The sequence below is a fragment of the Homo sapiens genome, chromosome 18, assembly GCF_000001405.40.
Source record: "Homo sapiens chromosome 18, GRCh38.p14 Primary Assembly".
In the NCBI taxonomy this organism is placed as follows: domain Eukaryota; kingdom Metazoa; phylum Chordata; class Mammalia; order Primates; family Hominidae; genus Homo; species Homo sapiens.
The window spans coordinates 7,914,539-7,933,972 of NC_000018.10; the positions used below are offsets into that span (position 1 = coordinate 7,914,539).

Here is a 19,434-nt window from a genome sequence, read left to right on the forward strand (position 1 = left end):
AGGGATTACATTAGTTAATGTACATATAGAATTTATCACAATGCTTACCACATTCTAAGAATTTAATTAATGTTAACTATTATTATTATTAGGCACTACATTGTGATAGACTTGCTAGAATTAGTTAGCTGCTAATGGTAAACCTCTAAATAGCTAAAATGATTGATATGCTAGATGGGGAAGTTTAATTGTATGTCCATCGTTAAATTCCAAAAATGTTTGCAAAATATATTGGTTCTCAGCGTTAGAGTAAGCAGTACCAGGCTGTTCTTTTTGGCAGCAATTTGCTTCCTTGTTTGTGATGATATGTTACACAAATAGAGAGAAATATTAACTATTTTTATTCTGGTGGTTGGGCATGCATCCCGTACATTTCAACCTATGCCATTACATTAAAATGTAAGTTAAAGCAAAAGGGGGTTAGGACATAGTCCTCTTGTTCCACTTCAGTTTGCACTTTGATCTCACAAATTACTCTTCTCTGATTTTGTTGCTAGTATTTGTATGCAGACTCTGAAGAATCAATAATAATGAAACATCTACAAAACGATTTGTATCTTGGTCAATGATAATTCTTGGCTTTGGGATCAAAGGCTTATTTGAGATCAATTAATACACGAAAACCTCTATTCTTTCTTAGTAAGAAGAAACAGAATATGGAAGCGATGAGAGGATAGGAGGGTTGTACTAAGAACATGTTTGTTATTCATGGAAGATATTTAGTTTTTAAATCTCCTACAGGTTTTAGAAGAAAGCTGGCATAGCATTTTGAAAGGGTATCCAGGAGACAAGTGGGCCTGTAAATTTGGAGAGAGAGAGAGAATGTTTCTTTTTGAATATGAGATAGATTGAAATTTCTGTTCTAAAGGTGGTATACACCTGATGTTACAATTAAAGTAGTATGGCAAGATTCAGAGCATACAGCTCAGCATGGGATCTACACTTTTCTGGCCATAGAGCTCTTTTTCTTGGGCTCTTTTCCAGGTTCCAGTGATAGATCAGTTATTTTAAATAGTAAGGAACATTTTTGTGGGCTAAGTATGAGGCACAGAGAACACCTTGGCTTCATCAACTTGTTTATTCTTTATATCAACACTGCGAAATAGGTACTTTTAAAAAATCTCTATTTTACAAATAAAAAAATTTTGTGAAGATTTAGGTTTAAGAATTTTTGCATATATTCGGAGATAATAAAGGACTGAAGGAAGTACTGATGCTTGAACACAAATGTGCTGAAATCCAAATCTTAAAATAGTATCAGCCTAAGCTGCTTGCCACCTGAAAATGGTTGTAGGATTTATAGCACTAAACAAGGGGAATCTAGGCATCTTAAAAGCTTGGAAGATTATATAAGCCTTTAATATTTACTGAAAAAATTTACACCATTAGCAGAAAGTTTGACTTTCATGTTCTTGGAGAAATCTGATCTCACAGTCATTTTGTTAAGTGAAATAACTTAGAAACAGAAAAACAAAAACTACACGTTTTCACTTACAAGTGGGAGCTAAACAGTGTGTATATATGGACATAAAAGAATAATAGACATTGGAGACCCTGAAAGGTGGGACGGGGAAAGAGGTGAGTGATGAGAAATTACCTATGGTGAATAATGTACACAATTCAGGTGATGGGTACACTAAAAATCCAGACTTCATTGCTATGCAGTATATCCAAGGAACAAAACTGCACTTGGATCCCTTAAATCCATTAAGATACAAAACTTTAAAAGAAAGTGATATTCCAAAACTGGGCGTACCATAGATGAACACACCTTTAGCAGAACCAGCGACAATTCTCATATTCACATTATTTTTTTAACTCTTATAACGTTTGCTGATAGAGTGTATGCATTTTATAACTTTCTCAAGAAAGATTATAGAAGTTAGTACTTATTGTATTTTTTAGAATAAACAGCAGAAATATACTTCTTACAGTTCTGGAGCCTGGAAGTCTGAGATCAGGGTGCCAACACGGTCAGGTTATGGTGAGGACCCTCTTCTGGGTTGCAGACTTCCATCTTTTTTGTTGTGTCCTCACATGGCAGACAGAGGGGGAAAGAGCTGAGTCCTTTTCTTTTTTAAAAAAAATGTTATTTTATTTTAAATAATAAAAACAAAAAATAAATCGACACATAATTGTACATACCTATGAGGTATAGAGTGATATTTTGAAACATGTATACAATGTATAATGATCAAGTCAGGATTAATTAGCTTATCACCTCAAACATTTATCATTTTTTTGTGCTGGGAACATTCCATATCCTCTCTTCTATTAATAGGTATTTGCAAATATACCAGAAATTATTGTTAATTATAGTCACCCTACAGTACTGTAAAACACTGTAACTTTATTAATACTTATATCTAACTGTAATTTTGTTTTCATTAGCCAACATGTTGTCCCTCTACGCCCTACCTTTCCTATCCCTTAGTAACCACTCTTGACTTCTGAGATCAACTTTATGATCTCTCTTACATGAGTGAGAATGTGGTATTTGTCCTTCTGTGCCTGGCTTTTATCACTTAACATCATGTATGTACTCTAGGCACATCCATGCTGCAGCAAATGACAAGGTACTTTTGAAAAGGTGGTGAAAAAGCTCCTTCATACCCTGATGGTAAAAATGTGAATTGTTATAAGCTTTTATGGAAAGCAGTTTGACAATTTATGTCAAATGTCTTTTAAAATGTGTGTTTTAAAAATTATCTTTGGCCAGGTGCGGTGGCTCACGCCTGTAATCCCAGCACTTTGGGAGGCCAAGGCAGGCGGATCACGAGGTCAGGAGATCGTGACCATCCTGGCTAACATAGTGAAACCCCATCTCTACTAAAAATACAAAAAACAATTAGCCAGGCGTGGTGGCAGGCGCCTGTAGTCCCAGCTACTCAGGAGGCTGAGGCAGGAGAATGGCGTGAACCTGGGAGGCGGAGGTTGCAGTGAGCCCAGCTCGCGCCACTGTACTCCAGCCTGGGCGACAGAGTGAGACTCTGTCTAAAAAAATATATACTTTTTTATTGATACATAATATAAGTGCATATTTGGGGGTACATGTGATAATTTAATACATGTATACAATTTGTAAAAATGGAAGCAGTGTAACTGGGATATCCATCACCTTAACTATTGTCTTTATGCTAGAAAAATTTGAATTGTTACTATCTTCTAGATATTTTGAAATATACAGTAGATTTTGCAAACTGTGGTCACCCTGTTGATCTTCAAGCACTAAGTTTTATTTCTAATAAGTGTATATTTGTACCCATTAATCAACTGCTCTTAATTCTGCACCCCCACTCCCCCTATCCATCCCAGCCTTTGGTAACCATTAATCTACTCTCTATCTTCATGAGATCCACTATTTTAGCTCCAACATAAGAGTGAGAATATGTTCTATTTGTTTTTCTGTGCTTGGCTTATTTCACTTAACATAAGGCCTTCCAGTACCATCCTTGTTGCTGCAAATGACAGGATTTCATGCTTTTTTGTGGCTGAATAATATTCCATAATGTAATATGAGATATTGTGTTCTTGTGTGTTTGTGTGTGTGTGTGTGTGTGTGTGTGTATGTGTATTACATTTTCTTTATTTACTTATTTATTGATGGACACTTAGGATGACTCCATATTTTGGCAATTATGAATAGTGCTGCAATAAACATAGGAGTGCAGATATCTTTTTGATATATTGATTTCCTTTCTTTTGGATATATACCAAGTAGTGGAATTGCTGGATCTTATGGTAGTTCTATGTTTAGTTTTTGAGAAACCTCAATGCAGTTTTTCATAGGGGCTGTACTAATTTATATTCCCACCAACACTGTACAAGGGTTCCCCTTTCTCCACATGCTCACCAGTATCCGTTACTCCCTGTCATTTTGATAAAAGCCATCATAAGTGGAGTAATGTGATAGCTCATTTTTGTTTTGACTTGCATTTCTCTGATGATTAGTGAGGTTGAACATTTTTTTTCCTGTACCTGTTGGCAATTTTCATGTCTTATGAGAAAATTAATTAGAGGCTCTTACTTAACAACAGAATGGGTCAAGCAGAGGAAAGAATCAGTGAATCTGAAGACAGCTACTTGAATGTCCAGTTTTAAATTGGACTATTTGTATTTTTGCTTGAGTTATTTGAGCTTCTTGTATATTCTGATGATTAGTCCTCTGTCAAATGGATAGTTTGCAAGTATTTTCTCCCATTCCATGGGCTCCCTTCACTTTGTTGATTGTTTCCTTTGCTGTGTAGAAGCTTTTTAGCTTAATGTAGTCCCATTTGTCTGTTTTTGTTTTGGTTGCTCTTGAGGTCTTACACAAAAATTCTTTGCCCAGACCAATGTTCTGGAATGTTTCACCAGTGTTTTCTTTTAGTAGTTTCATAGCTTCAGGTCCTAGATTTAAATCTTTGGGTCTATTTTGATTTGACTTCTGTAGATGTCGAAACAGAGGAGGCTAGTTTCCTTTTTCTGCATATTGTTCTCCTGTTTTCCCAGCAGCAGTTATTGAAGAGACTGTCCTTTCTTCGTTGTATACTCTTAGCACCTTTGTCAAAGACAAGTTGGCTACAAATGCGTAGATTTATTACTGGGTTCTCTGTTCTGTTGCATTGATCTATGTGTCTGTTTTTATGCTGGTACCATGCTGTTTTGGTTACTAAAGCTTTATACTACATTTTGAAATCAGGTAGTATATGATGCCTCCAGCTTTTTTCTTTTTGCTCAGGCTTGCTTTGGCTATTTGGAATATTTTCTGGTTCCATATAAATTTTAGCATTATATTTTCTATTTCTGTTAAGAATGGCATTGATATTTTGATAGGGATTCCATTGAATTTGTAATTTTTGAGTAGTATTGTCATTTTAAAAATTATTGAAACAAATCATAACAGAAATACAACATACCTAAACCTATGGGATTTTCCTCTTAATTTCTTCGATTGGTTGTTCACTAGCATGTTTTTAAATTTCCACGTATTTGCGTATTTACTGAGGTTCCTTTTGTTACTGATTTCTAGTTTTATTCCATTGAGGTCAGAAAAGATACTTCATATTATTTCTACTTTTTTAAATTTGTTGAGACCTGTTTTCTGGCCTAAGATATGTTCTGTTCTGGATAATTTTGTATGTACTAATGAAAAGAAAGTGTATTCCATAGCATTTGGGTGAAATGTTCTATAGACGTCAGTTATGACTATTTGGTGTAGCGTGTAGTTTAACTTTAATGTTTCTTTGTTGACTTTCTGTCTGAATGATTGGTCTGTTGATGTTCCCTGCTATGACTGTATTACAGTTTATCTCTCTCTTTAGATCTATGTTTGCTTTATATACTTGGGAGCTCTGGTGTTGGGTGTATAATATTTATAATTGTTTTATCCTCTTAACCAATCCCTTTATCATTATATAATTACCATTTTTGTTTTTACAGTCTTTGATTTGCACCCTATTTTATCTGAAATAAACATAGATACTCCTCCTCTTTTTTTGTTTTCCAGTTAGATGGAGTATCTTTTTCTACCCACTTCACTTTGTCTTACCTATGTGAGTGCCTTTATAGTTGAGGTGGATTTCTTGTAGGAAGAATTTAATTGTGTCTTGGTTTTTTATATGTTCAGCCTCTCTATGCCTTTTAATTGGATAATTTGCTCCATTTACATTCAATGTCATTATTAAGTAAAGACTTACTACTGCCATTTTGTTGCTTAATTTCTGGTTGTTTTGTAGCTCTTCTCTTTCTTCCTTTCTTACTACTTTGTAGTTAAATGATTTTCTCTGGTCACGTGTTTTAATTTGTTGTTTTTCATATGTAATGAATCTATTATAGGTTTTTGCATTGTTGTTACAATTAGGCTTATAAAACATATCTTATAGATATAAGTTATCTTAAAGAGATGACAACTTATCTTTGATGACAAATAAAAGGACAGAAAAATGAAAAAAATGCTTTTATGCTTTAACTCCATCCCCCTCACATTTTGAATTTATGTTGTTTCAGTTTGCGTGTTTTTATACGGCCTATCTCTTAACAGGTTACCATACCTATTACTGTTTTTGATAGATTTGTCTTTTGGGCTTCACAATACTTACGAATAGATTGCACACCACAGCTGCAGTGTTAGAATATTCTGGATTTGTCTGTATATTAATATTATCCGTGGGTTTTATATACTTTTACATGTTTTCTTGTTGCACATTAGTGTTTTTTTCCTTTCAGATTGAAGAATTCCCTTTAGCCTTTCTTGTAAGATAGATCTAATAGTGATGAATTTTCTCAACTTTTGTTTGTCTGGGAAAGACTTTATCTGACCTTTATTTTTCTGTGGATAGCTTTAGTGGCTGCAGTATTCTTGGATGGCAATTTAAAAAAAATTTCCACACTTTGAAAATGTCTTCTTATACACTCCTGTTTTCATTGAGTTCTGTTGCCATATGAACCCTGATTCCTTTATATGTTATTTGCTTCTTTTCTCTTGCTACTTTTAGGATACTCTCTTTGTCTTTGACCTTTGAGAGTCTAATCATTATATCTTTTGGGGTAGCCTTATTTGAGTTGAATCTGTTTGGTGTTCTCTGAACTTTCTGTCCCTGGATATTTATCTCTTTCATGTTTTGGAAAGTTTTCTGTAATAGGTAAGCTTTTTGCCCCTTGCTGTTGCTCAACTACCTCTTGAGCACCAATAATTCTTAAATTTGATATTTTGAGGTATTTTTCAGTATTTTGTAGATAATCTTTTTCCTTTTCATTTTTTTCTTTTTGCCTCTCTGGCTGTAAATTTTCAAATAGCTGTCTTCAAATTCACTGATTGTTTCCTCTGCTTGACCCATTCTGTTGTTAAGAGCCTCTAATGAATTTTTTTTTTTTTTTTTGAGACAGAGTCTTGCTCTGTCGCCCAGGCTGGAGTGCAGTGGCGCAACCTTGGCTCACTGCAAGCTTTGCCTCCCGGGTACATGCCATTCTCCTGCCTCAGCCTCCTGAGTAGCCGGGACTACAGGCGCCTGCCACCACGCCCATCTAATTTTTTGTATTTTTAATAGAGACAGGGTTTCACTGTGTTAGCCAGGATGGTCTCTAACTCCTGGCCTCATGATCTGCCCTCCTCGGCCTCTCAAAGTGCTGGGATTACAGGCGTGAGCCACCGCACCCGGCCTCTAATGAATTTTTTAATTCAGCAAATGTATTTCTTAGTTTCAAGATTTCTGTTTTTTTTTGTTTGTTTGTTTCTCTGATAAGTTTCTGAATTGCTTTTCTGTGGCTTCTTAGAGATCAGTGAATTTCCTTAAAATGGCTATTTTGAGTTTTTGGTTATAAAGTTTACATATCACCATCTTGTTCAAGTCAGTCACTGGTTCCTTGCTTTGTCCATTTGTAGAAGCTGTGGTTCCTCATTTGTTTTTGTTTCTTGTGGATGTATGTCTATGTCTTTGCATTGAAGGGTTGGTTATTTATTCCAGTCTTCCCAGTCTGGCTTGTTTTGTTTTTTATTGGACATTTTTGCTTAGAGCTTCTTTGTAATTTACCTGTTGATTTCCCTTTTTTTCCTCTGCTAGGTTACTGCCTAATTTTTGGCACTAGATGACACCTTAAGCCAAAGTTTGCCTCAGTTATGGTAAACAATGAGAGTGCTACTTTCCCTGAATTTGAGAGGTCCCAAAAGGGATATACCAGTAGTGTGGGAAGGCTGGCTAAGGGTTTGTGCAGAAAGGATGAACAATTCTCCTACAGTGAGGTGCTGCTTAACAGCCACTCTGATTTGGCATCCCTTTGGCCAAGTTACAGAGAAAGTTTCTAATGCTGGGGTGGCAGTCCTGCTGCCCCGTACCTTTTTCTCTGTCCTTAGGGATATTTCTCCCTTCAGGCACTTTCGATGTTTCCATTGGGTTGGGGAAGGGACAGATTTCCTGCCAGGCAATCCACAATAGTGGGGAAATTGTTTACCCACTTTGACCTCATTTTTTCCAATGTAGAAATTATGAGTCAGAGGAAATTTTCCGGTTACTTTCTGCTGGGCAGATTGGGGGTTGGGGTTTCACAGATATTGAAGTCTGGTTTTCTTCCCTCTGCTCAGAAATTTTTCATGTCTCTGGCTCCTGGAATAGTCTCATCCTCATATTTGAGTTCTTGGGTATTGCTGGTGATAATCTCTGTGCTGTATATTTATTTATTTTTTGTGGGAGTGAGTGAAGCCAACTTGCTTCTATGCCACCATTTCAGAACTGGCAAAAATGCATGTATTTTTTAATTAGTAATTTCTAATAGTTTAACTTATAAAAAAAAGGTTTTAATTATGAAAACTTTTATCTTAGCATTATATGTAGTGGAAACAAACCTCAGTGTTCAATAATGGGGGATGTTTCCGTAAACTTGTTTATGTATGATATGTATTAGGGTTTCTTAACCTTGGTGCTATTGAGATTTTGGCACCCGCTAATTTTTTGTTGTGGGGGCTATCCTGCACATTTTAGCAGTGTCTCTAGCCTCTGCTTTCTGGGTGCCAATAGCACTGCCTTTTAGTAGCATAATTCTGCTGCGAGACACCAGGAGTCATTACTGAAAATATTTAACAACCCTTCAGCACAGGCTCAGAACTGACCAGCTTAACTGAGCGGGGTAAAATTTAGAATAGTGGCCGCAAGTGCAATACCCCTTTAACCCAAGTTATCCTGAGAAATGGCTACATACCCAGACACCTTGTGTTAGAGACCTAGCTTGCTGTAGTAACCTGTAGCTGGGGGAGAGCAGGATTAGGTGTCTGGGAAATCCACTGGAGAGACCAGCACCAGGGAGAGAACCTGTTGTTCTGAGTGTGCCAGATAACTTCAGCCTTTAACACTCCACAGGGAGATGGAAGGCGGCGGGGGTTGGTCAACATGTGGAATGAGGCTTCAAGGCATTGTCCTGAGATATTATTGGAAGGAAAACTTTTCCTTTTCTGATTTGGGTCCAGTGGTTGGGGACCTGCAGATTAACTGACAAGAGACAGATTAATTGAAGAAAAGACAAAGTTTATTTTCACAGGACAGAGTTCCCAGCAATGGAAAACCCACTAAATAACCAGAGATAAAGGTTTATATTCCAAATTTAACAAAAGATTGGGGAGTGGTTTTAGGGCTTCAGTGGGAAAATGTAGAAAGTTCTATCAGGCTTTTTGATGGTAATGGCAACAGGCAGTTTGTCTACCTGGGAGCTGAATTAGACAACTCCCTTACAGGGGAGTTAATGGCAACTATTTTTTCTGGGAAAGCTCTGTTTTAGTCAACTACTTGAAGTTCAGATAAGATTTCTTTCTGCATCTTCTTTTGCTCAAATGTTTTCACTTTAAAATAATCTGTATACCAACTCTGGGGATCTGAATGGGTCCCCGTATTTTCCCTATGTAGAAGTTCCTTCAAAAAAAGAAAGTGGGTTGATTGCTGCGCAGAGACATTTGTGTTATAAATTGCAAGGTAAGAGATCTATAAAAGAGAGCGAATTTAGATTAGAACAAGGAAACAAAAAGAAACCAAAGAATAATGGTTGGAGCAAACTATAAACTCAGATTCTGAGTCCAGAAGGCAGCCAGTTGTGATTTCCGGGTGTTGGATTTGAAGCGTCTTCAGTGATGATAGTAGTGTCACAGCCACGGTTACTCCCTGGAGCAGAATGTGGAAGAGGCAGGTATTCCAGTGGGCTTTCTGAGTGGCCCACACAGTGGTGGTGATTAATCTTTTGAAGTTTTATCAAGTCATCCAGCTTCAGCTTGCACAGCTTTGGGAGTATGCTTAGAATTATTTCATTGGGGAATTTTTTTTAATGTTTCCAGTTAATGACACATGTACTAAAATAGATTTATTAGAAGAAATTTGTTTAAATTTCCTTGACAAGAAACAGCTTTTGGCTTCTAATATATTCCTATTAATTGAGTTAAATCTTAAAATTCTTAGTGAACTCTATTCATGTTGGGGACTTGTGGTGTAGGTAAACCTAAAATTATAATGATTATAAAGTTTTTTATATGGTAACATTTCATTAGTATCAGATGAGAGTGAGAGAGTAGAATTCTACAGAAATTGAAATCTAAAATGAACAGTCTTTAAGGATAGGTGTGTGGTTTTAATAATTGTAAGTAATATGAATTTAATGATGATAATGAGTATCTGGTGTGTGTGAGGCAATAACATCAAGTTCTGTTGCATCAAGTGCTGTGGCCGTTGTGATATGAGAAGGCCTAACCACAAGGTGAGCGAATCTACAGAAGCTTCATGGAAGGAACAGCATTTGAGAAATGCCTTGAAAATTCCCGCAGGCAGACCCAGGGGAGCCACTGCAAGTGGGATGAAGAGATAAGGAAAGGCACAGATGGTGGGAAGACTGGGGAGAGGCACTGTGGCTTCGTAAACCGAGCCTGGTGTTTGGAACTGGATATACTGGAGTTTGTTCTTTTTCTTACACTTACTAGCCAAGTACCCATAAGTGTTCCCCATCTTGGAAATGGAGAAAATATCTCCCTCACAGAACATTTGTGAGTACTCAATGGAAAAGTTTCTGGCACATAAGTACCCAATAAAGGTTACCTTGTTCCATTTTCTAAAAACAATGGGTCTTTGACTTTTTCAGGAACAAAGACTAAAAGAGAAATTCATTTAGGGACTTTTTACAGAGATCTTTTAAAAACACATAATTATGTTATTCTTGAGCAAGGGGTAATTTGATTAAGTCAGTGAAAAGCAGAGATCATAGAGTTGTATGTTAATATATTAGTATTAAGAAACAATGGTCCATGGTTATATTGCTTTGTTGGAAGTTATTTAGAACATTTTGCATGCTGAGCATCATGAATACTTTGTCTGAATTATTAGTGGCCTCCAAATTAATAATGGGGCTTTCCTGTGTGTTTTTGACATTAAATTAAGTTTTTCTTTGTTCTTTGTTCTGAAGTAGTAACTCAACTTCCATTCCTAATTACGTTCTGCCCAGGCTAATATGAGCACTAGTTTGTAATCTTTTGCTACCCAGTAGTGGGGCACCCTTTTTTGAAGCTGCCTAGACATGGCTAAAGACACATTTGCAGTGGGGAAAAGCTGGCAAGGCGTGACAGATGCATTCTGGTTATTATCCAGATTTATCTGTCTCTCCCAGAAAGTATGATCATCCCCTTTGCTTCCCACCTCTTCTGTGGGAAGCACTCTGCTGTGCCCACCCTTCCCGCTTTGTTACTCTTTCACTCTATCATTGTTATAATAAGGAAATGTTTTCCTAAAAGTAGAATTTTCATAAAATTTAAGTCCTGACTTACCGTCCTGGTTCCTGGACACCTGTTTTCAGTGTGATGCAGAAATTGGCCTGTGCTTCTCATACCAAATAGAATAATCCTTTATTTAAACAGCTGTCCCATATGGACAATGTACATTACGAGACAATGGTGTTCACCATTTGGAATCCTTCTTTGTTCTTGAATTAGAAATAAGAATCAGCAAACATTGCCATGCTATGGCAGTCTCAGCATCATTTCACAGAGTGTGTCTAAAGGAGTAGTATTTTTGGTAGCTGAAAAATATTACATAAGTAATGCTGCATACCAGTTAGTTGTATTAAAATATATATTATGTACAGCTGTGTACTTGGCTTGAAAAGCTTCCTTGACAACATCATTTAACTTCTTACTGTTCTTTTCATGTTGCTGGTATAAATATCTAATATGTTTTTGTTCAAAACATCAATTAGGTTTCAGTATAATCTTTATTAATACAGATCTGTTATTACAAGAAGACTGCCGAGCTATGATAATTTGCACAGCAGGAACAATAAAATATCTCCTTTCTGTTTCATTCTATTCCAGAATGCTTGGCTTTTTGTTATTCTTTTACACAACATACTAAAACCTTTTATGATTTTTTAAAAATTATAGTTAAATCTTTAAAGCTTATATAAGCAAAAGCATTATTTTTTTCCCAAGGTGAACAAAATTGAAAGGCCAAAAATTTCAGATAGATTGAAGAAGACATATATTAGTTACAAATCTCCACTTTTAATATCTTTCATTCTTTTTCTTTATGTAGCCAGGACTCCTCACTTCCTGCGGATTCAGAATGTGGAAGTTAATGCTGGCCAGTTTGCTACCTTCCAGTGCAGTGCCATCGGCAGGACCGTGGCAGGAGACAGGCTCTGGTTACAGGTACAGTAACTCATTTTCATCAGTTGATGAGAGTCCAGCGGGAAGAATACACTCCCCCTGGAGGAGGAACCCAGAGAAACAGACTCAGGTCCTAGTGTAAGAGTTTCCTTCTTTGTTAATAAGTAGCCAGATTACTTAGTAATCTATAAAAGCTAATTATTTTTGTTTAAACACCTTTTGTGAATTTCTTTTTTTTTTCCTTTGCTTATGCTTAGTCATCTTGCTTGGAAGATCTGATTGTCAAATTACTTATATGGCAGTTTATTAAATTACAAAATATAGCACTCTTCTCCTAAGTCTTCCTCTTGAGAAAAATCTAAAGAGTCTCTTTCTCTCTCTCTCTCTCTCTTACACACATACACACCACAGAACACTTCATAGGCCTTTTTGTCATTTGAATTTCCAAGCTGTAAGCTTAAACTTAGAAATTAATAATACATATTTTACTTTTGAGCTTTTAAATTATATTTCTTTGGTGTAGTGATCAATTGTGTGACTTGTTTTGTAATTATTCAAATTCCACCATATGTGTTTTGCATGGCAGAGGGTTGCGTGGATACATCCATGCTCTCAGGAATCCTGACAGAATGAGTGGGAGTAAATTGCCTGTCCCTTCTAACCAGAATGCCACCCACTTCTTTAAGCTCTAGGTTTGGGGTTTGCCCTGCCTTGGTATTCTCCAGTTGCATTCTTGTTTCTTTCTTTTAAGCATTAATCTGGAGGCTGCTCATTTTTCATCTTGAGTGGTGTTGATTTTTTGTCCTTATCTTTCCGTGTTTTGTGTGGGTGTGGGTTTTTTTTTTTAAAGTATTATCTATTTATTTTTAGTTTGCTACTGAGTTGAACTGTCCTTCGGGTTTTAACCCTTCTGTGTACGCGGTTGTGCTCCACACTGGCTTCCGCTCCATCATGTGTGCTGGCCTTGTCTCTGCACGTGCCATCTCTCCACCTCCTGTCATGCCTCGCAGTGTAATTATGATTGTGATTGGAGACTCCGTGTGACACTCTGTAATTTTTAAATCCTTCATTCCTTTTAATCACTGCAATGTAAATCTGTAGTCATTTGTTTTGTTTTGTGTTTGTCTTAGAGACAGGGTTTCTCTCTGTTGCCCAGGATGCGGTAGAGTGGTACCATCTCACTCAACCTCCTGGGATCAAGTGATCCTCCTGCCTCAGCCTCCCAAGTAGCTGGTACAACAGGCACATGCCACCATGCTTGAGTAATTATTTTGTCATTTTTATAGGGATGGATTCTCCCTTGTTGCCCAGTCTGGTCTCAAACTCCTAGCCTCAAGTGATCCTCCTGCCTTGGCCTCCTAAAGTGCTGGGATTACAGGTGTGAGCCACTGCACCCAGCCCAGTAGTATTTTTATTCTTCTCTTTCTGGGGAAAATGGGAGACATTTGAGTGTATGTCCCAAGATTAATCAGCAATGCATTGTCAGATGGGAAATGCATTCTGGAGAGGCTTCTTGTTGTTTTCTCTGCCAGGATGTTCCACCCCTCTGCCCAGTGTCACTCTGTTTTTTCATACCCTACTGTCCCTTTTAGAGACTTTGCTGGCCAGGAAGTGTATGCAGAGGATTATATTGTATATTCCAAGTTCATCTTTACTTTCTTCTTTGTCTGTAAAAGTTTTGTAACTGCTAACTTAAGAGTTTTTTGCCGCTTGTGAAAACTGTCCTCCGTATTCAAATTTTTTTTCTCTTTTTAACCTACATCCCAATTGTTTTAAACTCTTGATGTTAAAATTCAGAATTGTTTTCTCAGATAATGGCTATTTGGTATTAAACACAATCAAGATTGGCCATCTGTGGTAATTAATGATGAGACAAACATCTTCTATTGACATTTTCCACAGAGTATTAAGCACCTTTTAAAAATGAAACTATTTGTTCCTTTGATTTATCTCTAGAAATCTTAATTATTTGTGGAAAAATACGTTTTGCTCCTAATATTTATGATATTACTTGAGAGAATACAATATAAATACTATATTAAGTCTAGAGAATACAATATAAATACTATATTAAGTCTAAGCTCTCGCCTTAACAGAGTCATCTTAGATATTCCCAAGAATTTAAGGTTTGTTGAGGACATGATTTGCTCTTTTTATTTTTGCAAACGTCCTGGACTTGGTGTGCTCCTGCTTAAACTTGAGCACTTATTTGGGTTGGGAATCTTTCACTACTTCCTACACTTCCAGGAACTTTGTTTTAGAGATAATTTGTCATGTGGTATGGAGAAAGCTACTTACAGTTTTGGGGTTTGAAAAACAAAGGGTCTAAATGCAAAGTTATCAGCCCTGACTCTACTATAGAACAACTTGGAAGGGTTTTGTTTTGTTTTGGTTTGTTTTTTTTCACAAATGTCTTGTCTATTTCCAGATTCTCATTTAGTTGGTCTAGGGTGGGGCCCAGCGTGCAATGTTTTATTAAAGACTCTCCAAGTGATTCCAGTGTGCACCCAGGGTTGGAAATTACTAGTGTGAAGCAAAATACAACACACATTCTAAATCAGGAAAGAAAGAAGGCAGACATAACATATAACTGGTACCTGTATTCAGTTGCCTCAGTTTGACCCCAACGTTTAATTTTCCATGTACTGATCTTTGAATTTTTTCTCATTAGATTTGAATGATGGTGTTGGTAGTTGTTTTCACAGTCGGTCCCTTAATGCCTTTCTTTTTCTCTTGCTGAGTCTTTTCTGACCCCTCTTGTCTTCAGTGACCATTTATTGCCCTGCAGCTTTCTACACTGCGCTGTCAAGAAGGAGATGACACAGATAGAACTGTTGTGACTTTGAGCTTTTTACTGAAACTTACTTTATCCTGGAATCAGGACACTATTTGGTTAGTGAATCTTTGTGATGTTAGAATAATTTTACTGTTAAATAGTTTATTTTCCCTGGTTGGGTAGGCATTTTGTGGGGAAATATTTATTTTATTAATAGCTTATGAAATAAGACCCGTGTCCTTCACCTGCAAGGGTGGTTTTTATTAATCTATATGTGTACAAAGCAGTTTCCAGTAGTGATGAAGGTTTTCAGCAGATGCTGGTTTTGCACAGCCCTTCCTGCCCTCTTGCCCAGGACCCCTCACTCCCCCTTGAACATTTTCTCAGTCCATTCTTTAGAGGTCGTGAAGACATGTAAACCTTTCGTCATGGACCAGGTCTTTCTAATCTAGAGTTGTAATACACTAACACCTGTCTGCGTGTAAACTCATTTGGGTCCTCAAAATAATCCTGAGATCCAGGCAGAAAATTGAAGAAAAGAACTTATTTTTAGTTTTTTCTGTGATTCGAATCTCTCTCAAGAGTGAGTCAATATTTAGAAATTAATAATACATCTTTGTTTGGGGGTACATTGGTGTTTTTGAATATAATCATTTACAATATTTTTTTGAGACAGGGTCTCACTCTGTCACCTAGGCTGGAGTGCAGTGGCATGATCTCGGCTCACTGCAGCCTCGACCACCTGGGCTTAGATGATCCTCCCACCTCAGCCTCCTGGGTAGCTGGGACTACAGGTGTGCACCACCACACCTGGCTAATTTTTTGTATTTTTTGTAGAAACAGGTTTTCACCATGTTGCCTAGGCTGGTCTCAAACTCATGGGCTCAAGCAATCCACCTGCCTCAGCCTCCCAAAGTGCTAGGATTACAGACGTGAGCCACCATGCCCGACCTATTTACAATAATTTTTACTACTTGTGTTGCAGTCTTTTGAGGCCCACAATAGGTATTCTGCACAAAGTTTCATGGTTGTATCCCATGGTAGTTTATCTGTTTTGTAGGAGAGGAGTTGGAAGTTTAGGATTGTCCTGGGTCACAAAGAAAAATGACATAGCTGGCAATAATACAACTCTGTTTATTTACTTTTATTTCACCTTTAAGTAATTCCACTCTACTATACCGTCTTGTTGAATTTGGAAGGTAGATGAATAGGCATTATGCACTTACGCTTTGATAGAAGAATTTGGGTGTGACCAATATTACATCGTTAATATCAAGGTGCCATCCTGACCGTGGAAAATAATGCTTATATGTATTACATGTCATATTGATCCATACCTGTGAAAATGGCCAAGGTTTTGATTTTTTTAAATATAGATTAAATATAACCCTTGTCAGAGTCTTTCACAATAACGTAACGTAAATAAATCTGATGATGACACTAATGAAGAAATGTTTATGATTAACAGATGTGTCCCATCTGTTTATATTTTCTTAGTCTCATCTGTGGACCACACAGGTTATGTTGCCAAGTGGGATTGTTTTCTCTAGAACACTGAACAATAGAATAAGACCCAGTGTGTGAGCGCATCCATTGTTACAGCTACAAAATACTTTAAAAAATTTTCCAGACAGTAGGAAGACAACATCTGTAGAACTCTTTTCTTGTATCGAAAAACCTATATGCAATGCAGTTCTTGAAGATACTTGTGATATGTTATCGGATATGGCAATCTATTCATATAAACATGGACTGCAACAGTGTGAGATACTAAAATTAAGTGTATTTATGGAAATCATTCAAGCACCCAAAATATTACTGTAATTTTTTGCTATCAACTTTCCGATCACTTTTTGAGCCCACATTTTGAAAATATCTCAGAGTCTGTATACATATACTGTGTGTATGTGTGTGTATATATATATAACACTGAAAAGAGAAAATGGAATTTGAGATTTTCTTTTTATACTTTCTGTACACTTTTATACTTTTGAAAGTACTTTCTTGGCTGGGTGCAGTGGCTCACGCCTGTAATCCCAGCACTTTGAGAGGGCGAGGTGGGTGGATCATGAGATCAGATCGAGACCATCCTGGCCAACACTGTGAAACCCTGTCTCTACTGAAAATACAAAATTTAGCTGGGTGTGGTGGCACGTGCCTGTAGTTCCAGCTACTCAGGAGGCTGAGGCAGGAGAATCACTTGAACCCGGAAGGCGGAGGTTGCAGTGAGCCGAGGTCGTGCCACTGCACTCCGTCTCAAAAAAAATAAATAAAAATAAATAAATAATTTTTGTTTGCTGATGGGAAACTTCTGATGTTGTATATTTTTTATGTAGTCACTGACCTTTAAGCTATGTATGGTTGTATTAAAACCTTTATTGTTCTTTCTTCAGTATTCCAAATATTATTTGCCTATATTTGCTTGTTTCTCTCAGGACTTTCTATTTATAATACTTTCCAGTAAATGAAGGTGACAACCAAAGCTAGCTAGTGTTTATGTACCTATAGATGACTCATGCACGTGCAGTTACAAGACCTGTGGCATGGGGGCCACTGCCTTTCTCTTCCCCTGCCTGGGGTCCCATTTTGGTGTTTTTGTAACTTCTGCTCTTTAATTCATTTCTTGTAATCGTTGTAGAGGTTCCTGCATTCCTTACTCCTGTTAGCAACCACATCACATTCAGAGTGGGTGGGAAATACAAAGGTTCTGCCTCCAGGACAAAGAGCAGAAGACGGAGGTGGGGAGGAGCGATGTCTTTTCAACAAAGGATGAACAGATCTTTGATCAGGCTAGGGGTTGAGGTGTGCATGTTGAGTGAATAGCAGTTGGCAGTGGAAACCTGGAAAATAACCCCTTTCTCTTCACAGTCATTAGAGGTCCATACCATTTTTAAATATCTTACTTTTTAAAATTACACAATTATGTAACCTCTGAATTTGGAGCAATCTTCAAATTAAATTCCTAATTTTATTGACGAGAAAACAGAAGCCCAGAAAATGTAGGAAACTTTAGTGCAGCTGTATATCCTGTTTTTATGTTTATTATAGGTAACTCCATTTTATTATTGAAAGTCAGTTTTATATGTCTAATATTTTTATGTCTGTATATATATGTACATGTTTATACTTACGTATAAGTATTGTTATTTATTTACAAATGCATGAATTTTTTCTCTTGGACATTTTTCTTCACTGAGTGATCTTGCATCTCAAATATTAGCCTTTTAACCTGATAGTCTCAGATTTACTGTGATTTACCTGTGTTAAATTTAGAACCTTAAAATCCATCATAGCACAATATAATTGAGAGTTTTACTGTTTTGCAAGCAGAGTTTGGCATTTATTATAAGTAATGCACCAGAATAGCCTTTTAAAATGATTCCATAATATGCATTAGTTTATACAAATAGAAAAGGAAATCAGATGATGTTACTGTAAAGTACAGTAGTCCCCTCTTATCCGAGATTTTCACGTTCCATGGTTTCTGTTACCTGTGGTCGATGAAAATGTGGTCCGAAAATGTCAAATGGAAAATTCCAGGAATAAACAATTCATAAGTTTTAAATTGTGCACCATTCTGAGGAGCACAATGAAAAGTTATTCTGGCCCACCCTGTCCCACTGAGGACATGAATCATCCCTTTGTCCAACAAATCCCACCACCTACCCAGTAGTTACTAAGGAGGTGTCTTGGTTATCAGATAGGCTGTCTCAGGATCACAGTGCTTATGTTTAAGTCACCCTTACTTTACTTAACCATTGCCCCAAAGCACAGGAGTAGTGATGATGGCAATTTGGATATGGCCAAAGAGAAGGCATAAAGTGTGCTTCCTTCAAGTGAAAAGGTGAAAGTGCTCAACCTAATAAGGAAAGAAAAAAATTGTATGCACTGCTTGCTAAGATCTACAGTAAGAAAGAATCTTCTATACTTCAAATTGTGAAGAAGGAAAAAGAAATTCATTCTAGTTTTGCTGTTGTACCTCACACTGCAAAAGTTTACAGCCACAGTGCATGGTAAGTGCTTAGTTAAGATATACAAGGAGGCATTAAGTTTGTGTGTGCAAGACATGACAGAAGCTATCCATGGTTTCAGGCATCCACTAGGTGTCTTGAAATGTATCTCCCATGGAACAGGGGGGACTGCTATACTGTTAAAAACACTGGTACAACCGAGCACCTAGACTAGTGCTTGTCACATAGCAAAATGCTCAGTGAATACCTACTAATGCATGGGGCTTACTGGCTACCCAAACAAATCGTGTAGCTCCTTCAGGTGAGCATCAAAAGTAGATTTGTAGTTAGAGCAGGAAAACAAGCACAGAGGAAATCGTTTCTCTCTGGGATGATTGCTTTAGGCCTGCAGTTCCTGTTCAGAGGATGGTCTTTGATGAGAGGAGCAATTCATAGAATGTAGTGGTGCCTCTGCTGCTTCAGGCTATATAGCAAATATCATGCAGAGTTACAAAAACTGATTAATAAAAACAGGCATATGTTGGAGTAATTTTAGAAGCAAATATGGTCAATATATCATCTTTCCTAAATCTTCATTTCTTGTA

The 19,434-nt window shown here is 37.1% G+C and overlaps 1 protein-coding gene across 26 annotated transcripts in view; it reads left to right on the plus strand.

Annotated features, from left to right (window-relative positions):
- The window catches only part of PTPRM (protein tyrosine phosphatase receptor type M), an 839,541-nt gene that overhangs the window by 347,223 nt on the left and 472,884 nt on the right, over nucleotides 1–19,434 (plus strand). For all 26 annotated transcript variants that reach the window (XM_011525708.3, XM_047437715.1, XM_011525712.3 and 23 more), the window contains exon 5: nucleotides 12,030–12,145. In XM_011525708.3, the coding sequence (XP_011524010.1) occupies nucleotides 12,030–12,145 (116 nt within the window). The remainder of the gene's footprint in view (nucleotides 1–12,029; nucleotides 12,146–19,434) is intronic.